Below are 12613 nucleotides of genomic sequence, written 5' to 3' on the forward strand. Positions count from 1 at the left end.
GAGTATCCACTCTTAAAGCATTTTACCCTAGTTGCAAGCTAAAAGTTAGCCTGAAACATTTTCAGTGGATGCAGAGTAACAGCCTCTTCTTGCACTGGCATCACCTTGTGAGAACTGGGACCCATGGAACCAGGTGACAGGGGAACACGCAGTGGGTTGTATTACAGGAAAAGAACACTGAGTTTAGGGAATCTAAATCTTTTCTAACTGGTCACTAAGCTTTCCTGGTCTTTGCTCTGGAGTGAGACACTCTCTCCACTTTCCAGGGTGTTTACTATACAAATGGACTAGAAGAGATCATCGGCAACAAAGTCTATGTCTCTGTTCACACAAAAGGCAGAAATGTGAGACTCATGGAGAAATCTCTCCCAACACATGGATCTTATCTTCTAAATGGCAAAGATAAATATATGATTGAATGAATCAATGCATACATGTGTGAAGTTAGATAGTAATTAATGATTAAAAAAACAGTTTGGGCATGAAGATTGATAAGAAAAGCTGTTTTCAATAGGTTTGTCAGGGAAGGCTTTTAGGAGCAGGTAACAGTTGAGCAGAGATCTGAATAAACTGAGGAATACAGACATGTAAATATTTGCCCAAAGAGCATTATAGGCTTAAAGAACAACTCATGTTAAGGCCAAATGCAGGATAAGAATGTCTGATGTACAGTAAGAAACCCAGTGTGGATTGAGCAAAAGGGTGAGTAGGAGGCAATGAGGTTGGAGAGTGGGTTAGGAACCAGATCATGCCCTATGCCCAGATTGGCCCTATTATGCCAAGGGAAGAATCTTCATTAGATTCTAAGTTTGATAGGTTGCATTTTATAAATAAATAAATGAGCCTGGGCAGCTGACCCAGGATCTCAAGCTGGGCTAAAGTCGCTAAACAATGAGAGGCCCCAGGTTCCCCAAGAGAAGCACACAACTGGGACACGGTGAAGTAACACAATTGCTTTGTCATTCACCACTCTTTCTCTAGTTCTAGCTCTCCCATACCCTGTCTATTCCCCAGCTTCCATCTATCCATTTTTTTCTCCTAACTTCTAGTTCATTCTCTTTACACATTTCTTGTCTTGATAGCTCCTTGCTGCAATTCCCATTTCTCAAGTCTCCTGTCTTACTGCCCTTCCACCCCATCGTCAGCACATGAAAGCCTCTTTTCTCTCTCCTTACCTTTGCATCTCCCTGTGATGATGGTCTCCCTCATTCTCAGAAGCCCCATGGTTGGTGCATCTCTTATCAAGGAGCCGTGAGAAAAGAGAATAGGCTTCCCTCCTTCACATGCTCAGGTAGGGGTTAAATGCCTTTTGCTTTTCAGGCTGAGGTCAGAACATGGTGCCCCATGGATATTGGGGGAAGGGAAGAAGCAGCTAAATTCCCAGCCACACCATGGTAGAAAGGACCTATTTTCCCCAGTCCCCATGGCAAGAGCCATGCCAGCACTTACAAACAGTGTCTGGCACATGGTAGGTGCTCTGCAAACGTTTGTGAATATAATGAATGTGCTATTATAATTATCATAGTTGTCTTGGAGTATATGGGGTGAACATTTACACCTTAATTAGGAAGTATCTCAAAGCTGTTTATTTTTTTATGGCCTCAAGGAGAAAAGTCATTTGTTTGATTTTGTTTTTTACAGGCAATGATTACCATAGCAGCATAGAACCCAGTTTCTGTGTTCTTACCACCAAACCGTAGAACTTGTGATAGACAAGATATAAACAGCATCATCTCAGATGACATTTTGAGACAAAAACAACAAAGTAGTGCATTGGGAGATCCAAAACAAATGGCAAGTCAGTTTACATCTCTAAAAGTTGGCTGCAGTAAATTCTCCTTTTTTCTGACTTCCATTACAATTTTAAACACGTCTTCCCTCCCATGCATTTCTTCCCACTATGTCACCACCTGCCATTAACCTGTCACTGGGACTGGCAGGCTGAGGTCAGTTATGCTCCTTTATCAAACAACCCTCGAGGTCCTTCTAGGTGCAAAGAATTGTGCTAGGTTCTGGCACTCAGACCTGCTGCACACCTGCAGAGAGCCAAAGGGTAGTGGAGGAACAAACTTGTACAGATAAGCACGGTCCAGGGTTGCAGGCCTGCGATGGGGACCCTCATGGGGTGCAACGAATGCCCAGAGGATGGGGGATCAGTTGTCCATAAAGGTGAAGAGTAGAGCTGGGAAAAGAGCCAGAAAGGGATTTATGGAGTGTGTGACACTTTAGTGAGCTGCATTCTGAAGGAGAGGTGTTTCCTAGGTGGAAAGGTGCAAAAGCAGAGATAGGCAAGACTTAGCTTCCTCAGGGAATTACAAGCAATTCAGTATGGCGGCAGTGAGGAGATGGGCCCAGAAAGAGATGAGGCTGTAGAATTAATCAGCTGGGAAGCTGGAAAGCACTTCTGCAGATGTTCATGGAAGAATTGTGTAATGCTACTGTCCTGGAAGAGCTTACCAAGTACATTGCTTGTCTTTCTTATTTGGCTACACTGAACTTTAAAAGAAGGAGTTAACATCTCCATTGGAGGAATGTACAGGTACTACATATGTAGATGTGTACATATGTGCACGAAAGCCCACCCATGGCTGCACCCCACCCAAACATTATAGGAAGTCAGTAGTTGTTATTTCTTCAGAAAATAGAGTTCCCCCAAAAAGATTTTACATTTTTTAATAAAGTTTGCTGAAGATTTTTTTCATTACAAAAGTTAACACACTTTTTTAGTTATAGAAAGGTAGAAAAAGAAAGTTAAACCAAAATAGAACAGAGAGAAATAAACATATTTATATTTCCCAAAGAAAGTTATTAATATTTTGATAATTTCCTTCTAGCCTTTTGTCCTATGCACAAGTTTAATTTGTTTATTTGTTAACCAAAGTATTAAGTCTGAATAGACTATAAAGAAGGAAATAGTTCATGGGATTTTACTTCAAATATATATAGATAGTCATAAAGATCATTCAGCAATATTTATTAATTTTCTATTATGTGTCAGACACAGTGCTAAGTGCTGCAATAAAGCAATAAACACAGTAGGCATAGTGACTACCCATGCAAATTCCCGTGGCAATGGGAAGGACAGGAAATAAAAGAGGTGTCATGGGGACAGGAAAGGCTGGCAAAACTTTTGGCTCCCTCAGCAGAAACTCCCCAATACCACTCTGCCCCTTCCCTTCATAGTTATGAAGTCACTGAGTGCTGGCATTGGAAGGGCCTTTGAGCTCTCATAGTCCAAATAATAGTGTTTCTTGGTTGAAACAAATAGGACTCTTTAAGCCTGGCTTTTTCTCCCCTAATTCCTGGAGCATTATTGCCTTCATTAAGCTACCCCTCCTCTGGTAGCCAGTGCTTCTTCCCCCCCTGCTACCTGCCCCCTGCCACTGAGGCAGCCCAAAGAACAGGAAACCGGAGGTGGCCCTGCCAGAGCTGTCAATAGCAGCAGGCATCTTCCTTCCTGCCACAGGGGTGATAAGACACAAGGCCAAGGGGAGGGAGCCCCTCTCGGCTGAACACTCCATGTGTTGTCCTTTGCCTTAGAAAAACCTTCACTCTTCCTACCCCACCAAAGTAGCCAGTCACCACCAGCATGGAAAACAAATAAATAAGCTAAGCAAGGTCACAGTTATTTCTGCTGTTGTGAGATCCAGCGTCACATGTAAAAAGAGTTGGTGGTTTCTAATCCCCCACTGCCCAACACAAATCATATTTCCCTCCTCAGGCAGTACGTCTCAAATTGCAGCTTTATAAAGCCATATCTTTGAGTCAAGGGACTTTAGTTTCTATATATCTCATGCCTAAATGAACTAAATATTCACTACATAAACCACCCTTACACCATGATTAGTAATGGATCACATCATGGTAATGTACTCACACCAGATTCCGCTGCAGCCTGTTAAGCATCATTATGACACACTGGCTGGTCAGTGTTGGATAATTTAGGGATAGGCCCATGTTAAGGACCAGGTAGCCTTGGTTGTGTTATCACAATGGAGCCTCAGAAGCCTGAGACAGCAAGAGGGCCAGGAAGTCTGAAGTGTTTGAGGAGAAATGTTCCAAAAGGAAACTTTCCTTACTTCATCTATTTTGCACCACACACGTCCTGACACATCAAGGGTATTCTCACAGTAACTGGCAATTCTATGAACTTTAGAATCCATTCAGGCAATCACATGTCTCTGTCAGCTGTACTAAATGTCTTTGAAGCTGGGAAATTCCTTTGACTCTGGTTAAATATTACATAAAACATGCCTGCTTTGAATGGGCAAACCATAAACTGTACAATAAAGTGTGGGAGAAAGAAATTTGGGCTTGGAGCCATAAGATATGAGTTTGAGTCCTTTCTAGTGGTCTGACCTTGAGTAATCACTGCTCTCTAGATTTTAATATCATTCATAATTGTGCTCTACTGTAATCTCTTATATAAAATATTTCCTGGCCTCTCTTTTCTACCAGGCCCTAGACAGAATTAATTATATATATAGATATATATGTGTGTGTATATATATGTATGTGTGTATATATATATATAAAACAGATATATATGTTTTATTTACATATTTAAAGCATACATTTATATATTTAAAATACATTAAAATATATATACTTTATAATAAAAATATATACATTTACATATATTTAAAATATATAAATATATATACATTTTATAATATAAAGTTTATTTTATATTATGTGTATAATTAAAATGTATTTTAATATAAATTTTAAAAAATGTATAAGCATGTTGTATATAATTTTTCATCTCCCTCACTAAACTTGATTGCTGCAGGATTCATGTCTTTGATTCCATGGTATTACTCTGACTGAACTACAATACAAAGGGCATAATAAGCACTTCTCAAGCACTCTTAGGAGGCTCAAAGGTGATAGTACTCAAACAAGTATTTCATAAACTATAAGCCTCCATGTGATTGTAAGATGTGGTCATTATTTGCATAGCAATATTATTTCTCAGTGTAGCACATTTCATAAAAATCCAGGAACTAAAGCAAAGAAAACAAGAAGCAGTCAACAGTGATTAACTCTGGGGGTGGGATTGGGAGGTAATAGGGAAGTTGAAGAACAGGGGAGGGGAGGGGAGACGAGGACAGGAGATGTCATATTCTTAATTTGTATTAATTTTCAATATTAGAAATGTGGATAATTTTTATATTGATATGTCTTGGTATTTTTTCAAATTGGAAAAATAAATGCACACAATTCTAGGAAGCTACTGCAGTATTTACCTGGCGTGGGGTCCGTGGACATCTGTCAAATGTTAACCGAAACCAAAGTCTTACTGTACTATTTATTACATTATTACTGACAAGAATAACAATACCTTTCTAGCTTTTATATTGCACTTTAAGCCTTCTGAGATGATGTTTATTATTTGCTTTATTCTTACAACAATCCTGATGTTATTAGGGTAATAATCAGTAACTGTATTTAATGAAAAGAAAAAGTAAAACCAGAGAAACTTCATAAGTTGCCCAAGATTCCAAACACAGTGGACAAGTCAAGACTAGAATTCAAGAGACCTGGTTAGAGCCATCCGCAGTGGGTGAAACTTTTGGAGCCCTAAGGATATGTGCAATAGTCTCCAAAGACATTTTCTGTGCCCTCTGTCCTCGGCAGAGACCTGGGATCCCAGCAAAGCTGTCACCTACAGATAGATGGCTTCTGATATCTTATTTACTGCCACTCATTGTATCAGTCACTGAGTTTCAATGCATTGCTGAAAAAACATTGACAACCTCCTGGCTTGAATCTGGACCCTGCGACTAAATGAGCTGCATGACTTTGAATAGTCACTTAACCTTTCTGAAAAGTCAGTATCCTTCCTTATCAAGTGGGAACGACACCACATGGCAGGCTCAGGGATGTTGTGAGCATCTAAGGAGGTAATGTATGTGAAACTGCACTGTAAACTGTAAGACATTTTGTAAATGTCAGATATCTTATTTGCTTACAAGCTTCTGGAGGCTACTGTGCAAAGGCAGAGATTCCCACAGCCACCAAGGAAAGGAAATCTAGGAGGAAAAAGATAAAATCACTCTTAAAAGGAGGAAAGAACTATTCCTACTATATGAGCCTCCTCAACCTGCAATGATAGAGTCCCAGTGTTCTTTAATGTCTATTTACTTTTTCCTTGCTGTCCTCTTCTCTGCATATTATTCCAGCTGTGACAGTCATTTCATCAGTGAAATTATCAGAGCAAATAAATTTCACTCTCTGGGTCCTTTGACTGAAGCTCCACAATAGGATAAAAAGTATTCTCCCTCCCCCTCCCCCTCCCCCTTCCCCTCCCTCTCCCTCTCCTTTGCACCGTCTCCCTCTGATGCCCAGCCGAGGCTGGATTGTACTGCTGCCATCTCGACTCACTGCAACCTCCCTGCCTGATTCTCCTTTCTCAGCCTGCCGAGTGCCTGGGACTGCAGGCGCGCGCAGCCATGCCTGACTGGTTTTCGTATTTTTTGGTGGAGACGGGGTTTCGCTGTGTTGGCCGGGCTGGTCTCCAGCTCCTGACCGCGAGTGATCTGCCAGCCTCGGCCTCCCGAGGTGCCGGGATTGCAGACAGAGTCTTGCTCACTCAGTGCTCAATGTTGCCTAGGCTGGAGTGCAGTGGCGTGATCTCGGCTCGCTACAACCTCCACCTCCCAGCCGCCTGCCTTGGCCTCCCAAAGTGCCGAGATTGCAGCCTCTGCCCGGCCGCCACCCCGTCTAGGAAGTGAGGAGCGTCTCTGCCTGGCCGCCCATCGTCTGGGATGTGAGGAGCCCCTCCACCCCGCTGCCCAGTCTGGGAAGTGAGGAGCACCTCTTCCCGGCCGTCATCCAGTCTAGGAAGTGAGGAGTGTCTCTGCCCGGCCGCCCATCGTCTAGGATGTGGGGAGCGCCTCTGCCCCGCCGCCCCATCTGAGATGTGAAGAGCGTCTCTGCCCAGCCGCGACCCCGTCTGGGAATTGAGGAGACCCTCCGCCCGGCAGCCGCCCCGTCTGGGAAGTGAGGAGCGCCTCCGCCGGGCAGCCGCCCCGACAGGGAGGTGGGGGGCAGCCCCCGCCTGGCCGCCGCCCCGTCTGGGAGGTGGGGGGCGCCTCTGCCCTGCCGCACTGTCTGGGAAGTGAGGAGCCCCTCTGCCCAGCCGCCACCCCGTCTGGGAGGTGTACCCAACAGCTCATTGAGAACGGGCCATGATGACGATGGCGGTTTTGTCAAATAGAAAAGGGGGAAATGTGGGGAAAAGAGGGAGAGATTGGATTGTTGCTGTGTCTGTGTGGAAAGAGGTAGACGTGGGCGACTCCATTTTGTTCTGTACTAAGAAAAATTCTTCTGCCTTGGGATGCTGTTAATCTATAACCTTACCCCCAACCCCATGCTCTCTGAAACATGTGCTGTGTCCACTAAGGGTTAAATGGATTACAGGCGGTGCAAGATGTGCTTTGTTAAACAGATGCTTGAAGGCAGCATACTGGTTAAGAGTCATCACCACTCCCTAATCTCAAGTACCCAGGGACACAAACACTGCAGAAGGCGGCAGGGCCCTCTGCGTAGGAAAACCAGAGACTTTTGTTCACGTGTTTATCTGCTGACCTTCTCTCCACTATTATCCTATGACCCTGCCAAATCCCCCTCTCCGAGAAACACCCAAGAATGATCAATAAATACTAAAAATAAAAAAAATTTTAAAAAAAGTATTGTAAATGCCTCTATCCTCAGTTACTGAAAGGGAAGCATCAAAATATTCAACTTCCTATTAAGTTTGGTAGCATTTCTTTTTATTAATGAATATAGGGACCTAAAATCCTTCATCACAGTGTTGACTGAAAGTGTGGATTAGCTGGAATGTGGAATCCTGCTATGTATTTGATGGTGCTTCAAAATCTCTCTGATAATGGCTATTAAAAAAGTAAAAAAAAAACATGCTGGCGAGGTTGCAGAGAAAAAGGAACGCTAATACACTTTTGGTGGGAATGTAAATTAGTTCAACCATTGTGGAAAACAGTGTTACGATTCATCAAAGACCTAAAAACAGAACTATCATTTCACCCAGCAATCCCATTACTGGGTACCTATCCAAGGAATATAAATCATTCTGTCATAAAGACACATGTACATGTATGTTCATTGCAGCCCTCTTCACAATAGCATAGACATGGAACCAACCTAAATGCCCATCAGTGGTAGACCGGATAAAGAAAATGTGGTACATATACCCTATGGAATACTATGCAGCCATAAAAAAAGAATGAGATTATGTTCTCTCCATAGCGTGGATGGAGCTGGAGGTCATTATCCTTAGCAAACGAATGCAGGAACAGAAAACTAAACACCACATGTTCTCATAAGTTAAATGATGAGAACACATGGACACATAGAGGGGAATGACACACACTGAGGCCTATTGGAGGATGGGGGGTGGGAGAAGGGAGAGGATCTGGAAAAATAACTAATGGGTACTATGCTTAATACCTGGGTGATGAAATAACCTGTACAACAAATGTGCATGACACAAGTTTCCCTATGTAACAAACCTGCACATGCACTCCTGAGCTTAAAATACAAGTTAAATTTAAAAAAAAAGAAACATCGAAATATCTTTGATAGCCTATGCTGCAATTATACTATAGATCTGTAAGTAAAAGAAGAGGGAGAACATGTTTTATGGAAAGATATAATCCAGTGGTCAATGTAGGGAATATGACCAAAGAAAGAATCTATCACCAAAAAATGACAGACTGCAGAGAGTAACCAAACTAAACCCAGGTCTGAAGCAGGAATGGCTGGAGTAGGTGTGTGTTTAAGCCATTATACTCCTACAGAATGAAACCCACACCCTGAACACTGCTTCCTTCTCTTATAACTTGCAATAGCTTGTCTGTAGATAGAAAGTTTTGTTTCTCCCAATCTGATCCTTATTCTTACCGTTTCATTTCCTTGTCTCTTTGTATTGCCTAAGACCTTCGGTACAATGAAGGTTAGAAATAATAATGGGCATCTCTGCTGCATTTCTGACTTTAAAAGAATAGATTCTAAGGCTGTAAGTATAGTATTCACTGTGCACATTTGTTAGATTCTCTTAATCTAAGAAACTTCTTTTAGTTTGTTATGCATTGTTTTAAACCACAAGGAATGTTGAATTTTTATCAAATGCGTTGTCTGGATCTATTGAGTTGCTTAACTGACTTTCTTCTTGAATCTGTTAATGTGATGGGGTACTTTATAGATTTCCTAATGTGAATATATCCCTGCATTTCTAAAATAAACCCTCCTTCACCATGATAAACTTTTTAAAAATAATAAATGGACAGGTTCAGTTTCCTTATATTTTATGAAATTTGCATTTATGTTTATAAATGAAGAGTTTTTCCTCAGGTCTCTTTCTACTATTCTTGTCTTGTTTGTCTGTCAAAGTTAGAATAGCTTTACGAATTGACTTGGGGAGTTTTTGCTTGCTTCCTTTCCTCTGGAAAAATGCTTATAAGATGAAAGTATGTGTTATATTCTCTATTGATAGGTAAAGTGTTCTAAGCATGTCTACTTAATCAAGCTTATAAACACGAATATTCAAATATTTATATCTTCACCAGTTTTTATTAGCTTCATCTACCAGTTTTTGATGGGAGGTAAAAAAAATCTCCCATTTCGATTTTGTATTTGTCAGTTTCTGTTTGTAGTATGTAATGATTATTATATTTTCCTGATGTACCTTTTTTTGTTGTTGTTGTTTGTTTGTTTTTGATTTTGTTTTTCTCATCTTTTTTGAGACAGAGTTTCACTCTTGTCACCCAGGCTGGAGTGCAGTGGCGTGATCTCAGCTCACTGCAATATCTGCCTCCTGGGTTCAAGCAATTCTCCGGTCTCAGTCTCCTGAGTATCTGGGATTACAGGGGCCCACGACCACACCCAGCTCATTTTTTGTATTTTTAGTAGAGATGGGGTTTTGCTATGTTGGGCAGGCTGGTCTCGAACTCCTGACCTCAGGTGATCCGCCCACCCCGGCCTCCCAAAGTGCTGGGGTTATAGGCATGAGCCACCATGCCCGGCCCTGAACTGTTGTTTTAATCATTAAGAAATAACGCTTTTTACAGCTATTGTGCCTTAAAAACTAGATTTGTCTGATATTAATATTGCAATAACAGCTTTCTTTTTTCCTACTATATCTTTTTAAAACTTTTTTGCTTTAAAATATTCTCTGCTCTTACTTTTTAGGTATTTAAATAACAGATCCATTTTCTTTCTTTCCTTTTCTTCATCCACTCTTTTGAATATATGTGTTTTATTTCTATTCTTTAACATGGACACCTAACAAAGTCCAATTCTAATAAAGATCTCTTATTGACCAATAGAGGAAACTTGGTATGCTTTAAATCCAATCCCCTTCCATTTTCATGTTATTTTACATTAGTTTCACCTTGTTTTCAAGCTTCTCAAAACAGCCTTTTTGTTGTTTATACAATCAGCGTTACTTTTAGTTGTTTTTTCAGTGAATATATGTTATTTATAAACTCAACCTTCCTTTATAGAAAAATCATTTTATTTCACCATACCTTTCAGTGACACTTAAGTGAACATTTTGCAAATATTCCATTTCATTCTGGCTTCTATTGTTGCTAAAGTATGCTATTAGTCTTAGTAGTTATTTTTGTGGGTAATCTGTCTTTTTTTCTTGGAACCTGCACAATTTATTTTTTCTGATCTTTGTTGTCCTGCAATTTCACTATGAAATTAATTCTCATTGGGATTACTTGCATAATTTTAATATGAGGACTTATATCTTTCTGGAGTTCTGAAAAATTCCAAGCCAGTATCTTTTGGAATATTGTGTCTTCTCATTTTTTCTAACAGATGTATATTAGATCTTCTTATTCTAACTTTCATATCTTTTAATCTCTTTATAGAACACCCCATTTCGATCACTCCTGCATTATAGGTGTTTTATTCAGCTCTACCTTCTACTAATTAAGCTGTCTTCAGCTGCATGTACTTTAGTTTAACTCATAATTTGCTATCTTAATTGAACTACATATTTGTTCATTTCTAGAGATGCCATTTTCCTGCTTTTTCTTTTCTTATACTATTTTCTTCTTGTCTTCTAATTTCTATGCCTTTTATAATGTTCTAACATGAATATTTTAAATACATTCATTTTCTCATTTTTTTTTTTTTTACTGAAGTGGTCATTTTCTTTTTCACATTGTTGTTAGTTTTCCTCAGAATTTTCTTGTGTTGCCTCTTGTAACTTTTAAAAGTTCATCTTTACTGCAGATGGGTTTCACTGGGAATTCTGTTGTGCTGATTGACGGAAGTGCACTTACACAGTATTTTCATATTTGCCTCTGCCAGGGCCTCAGGGTTTCACCAAAGCTAGACCAGTTTTATGCTGCTTTCTAAATCTGGGGTTCCTACACCTCATGGGTGGGGTATATTTAGACTCTACACCCATTCCTTATGTAATTTCAAGATTCTGAATTCTTATGGGTGTTACAGATAGCTAGCTCCTTGGGTCATTAATATGTGGAGGTTTTTTTTAATCATTTTTCTACGGATGGAATCTGCTTTCAAGAATTGTAGCAATATGTAAAAGACTCCATTATAGTTGCTTATCTCAAATGGCTTTAGATCTCATAGCCCATCCTCTGTGGGCATGAAAAACCCAATATTCGTACATTAAAAAGTATATCAAGGACCTGTTGTCCCATGAGCCACTGTGGCTTTAGGCTATCACCATTTTTGACTTTGAGAATGTCTTTATTTCTACTACCTAAGGAGTTCCTTTTTTGTTGAGCTTAGTAGCATATGTAACTTTTGTTGGCATAGTTTATCCAAATTTTCTATGTTTGGAGCATGAGGAAGTTCCTTTGATTGGATTTCCATTTTCAGGGTATAATCCATTTTCAAGATGTATCAACTTTGCAATAGGGACTAGAAAATGCTTTGGAAAGCCATTGCATTTATGATACTATTTGCATTTCTGATATCCAGAACCAGATGTTGATTTTAAAGCACATGACTAGACTTGTCAGATTTAGCAAGTAGAAATACAGGACACTCAGTCATATTAGGGTTTCAGATAACCAGTGAATAAGCATGGCCCACGCAGTATTTGGCACATCCTTATACTAAAACATCATTCATTGTTTATCTGAAATTCAAATTTAACTAAGCATCCTGCATTTTATCTGGCAACCCTACATGTATCCACCTCTTCCAATTTGAACAATAATGGCCATTTGTGAAGAATCTCCCACATGTGTTCCATTTTTACAAGTGTCCTATTTTAAACAAGAAAGCTAAGCTCAGCTATATATTTATATAGAATCTCTGTTCAAGGCACAGGCATATTTTTAATCAAATGGCTCGATCTGGCAATTGAAGTCCAAACATTATTTTTGTTTGATCTGCCCTTCTTTTGGATTTAATCAGCCATGTTTAAACAGACATTGGTAGAGTATAAGATTTTCAGACATTTGTTTAAGTCAGCTGATTTTAAAAGCAAGTGATTGAGCTCTCAGCACGTGTTAAGTTGGCAAGTTAGTCTTCCAGAGAAAGACATTTTCTTGTCTGTATTTTTCTGTTTGCTCTGTTGCCTGTAATGGTTACCTTAAATCAC

General features: G+C 40.0%; 1 long non-coding RNA gene across 1 annotated transcript in view; it reads left to right on the top strand.

Annotated features, from left to right (window-relative positions):
- The first annotated feature begins 8947 nt into the window (after positions 1 to 8947).
- LOC105371606 (uncharacterized) overlaps positions 8948 to 12613 on the top strand; it is a 30799-nt gene continuing 27133 nt past the window's right edge. The window contains exon 1 of the long non-coding RNA XR_922261.3: positions 8948 to 9040. This is a non-coding gene — a long non-coding RNA (uncharacterized LOC105371606). The remainder of the gene's footprint in view (positions 9041 to 12613) is intronic.

The sequence above is a fragment of the Homo sapiens genome, chromosome 1 (genome assembly GCF_000001405.40).
Source record: "Homo sapiens chromosome 1, GRCh38.p14 Primary Assembly".
Lineage (NCBI taxonomy): Eukaryota > Metazoa > Chordata > Mammalia > Primates > Hominidae > Homo > Homo sapiens.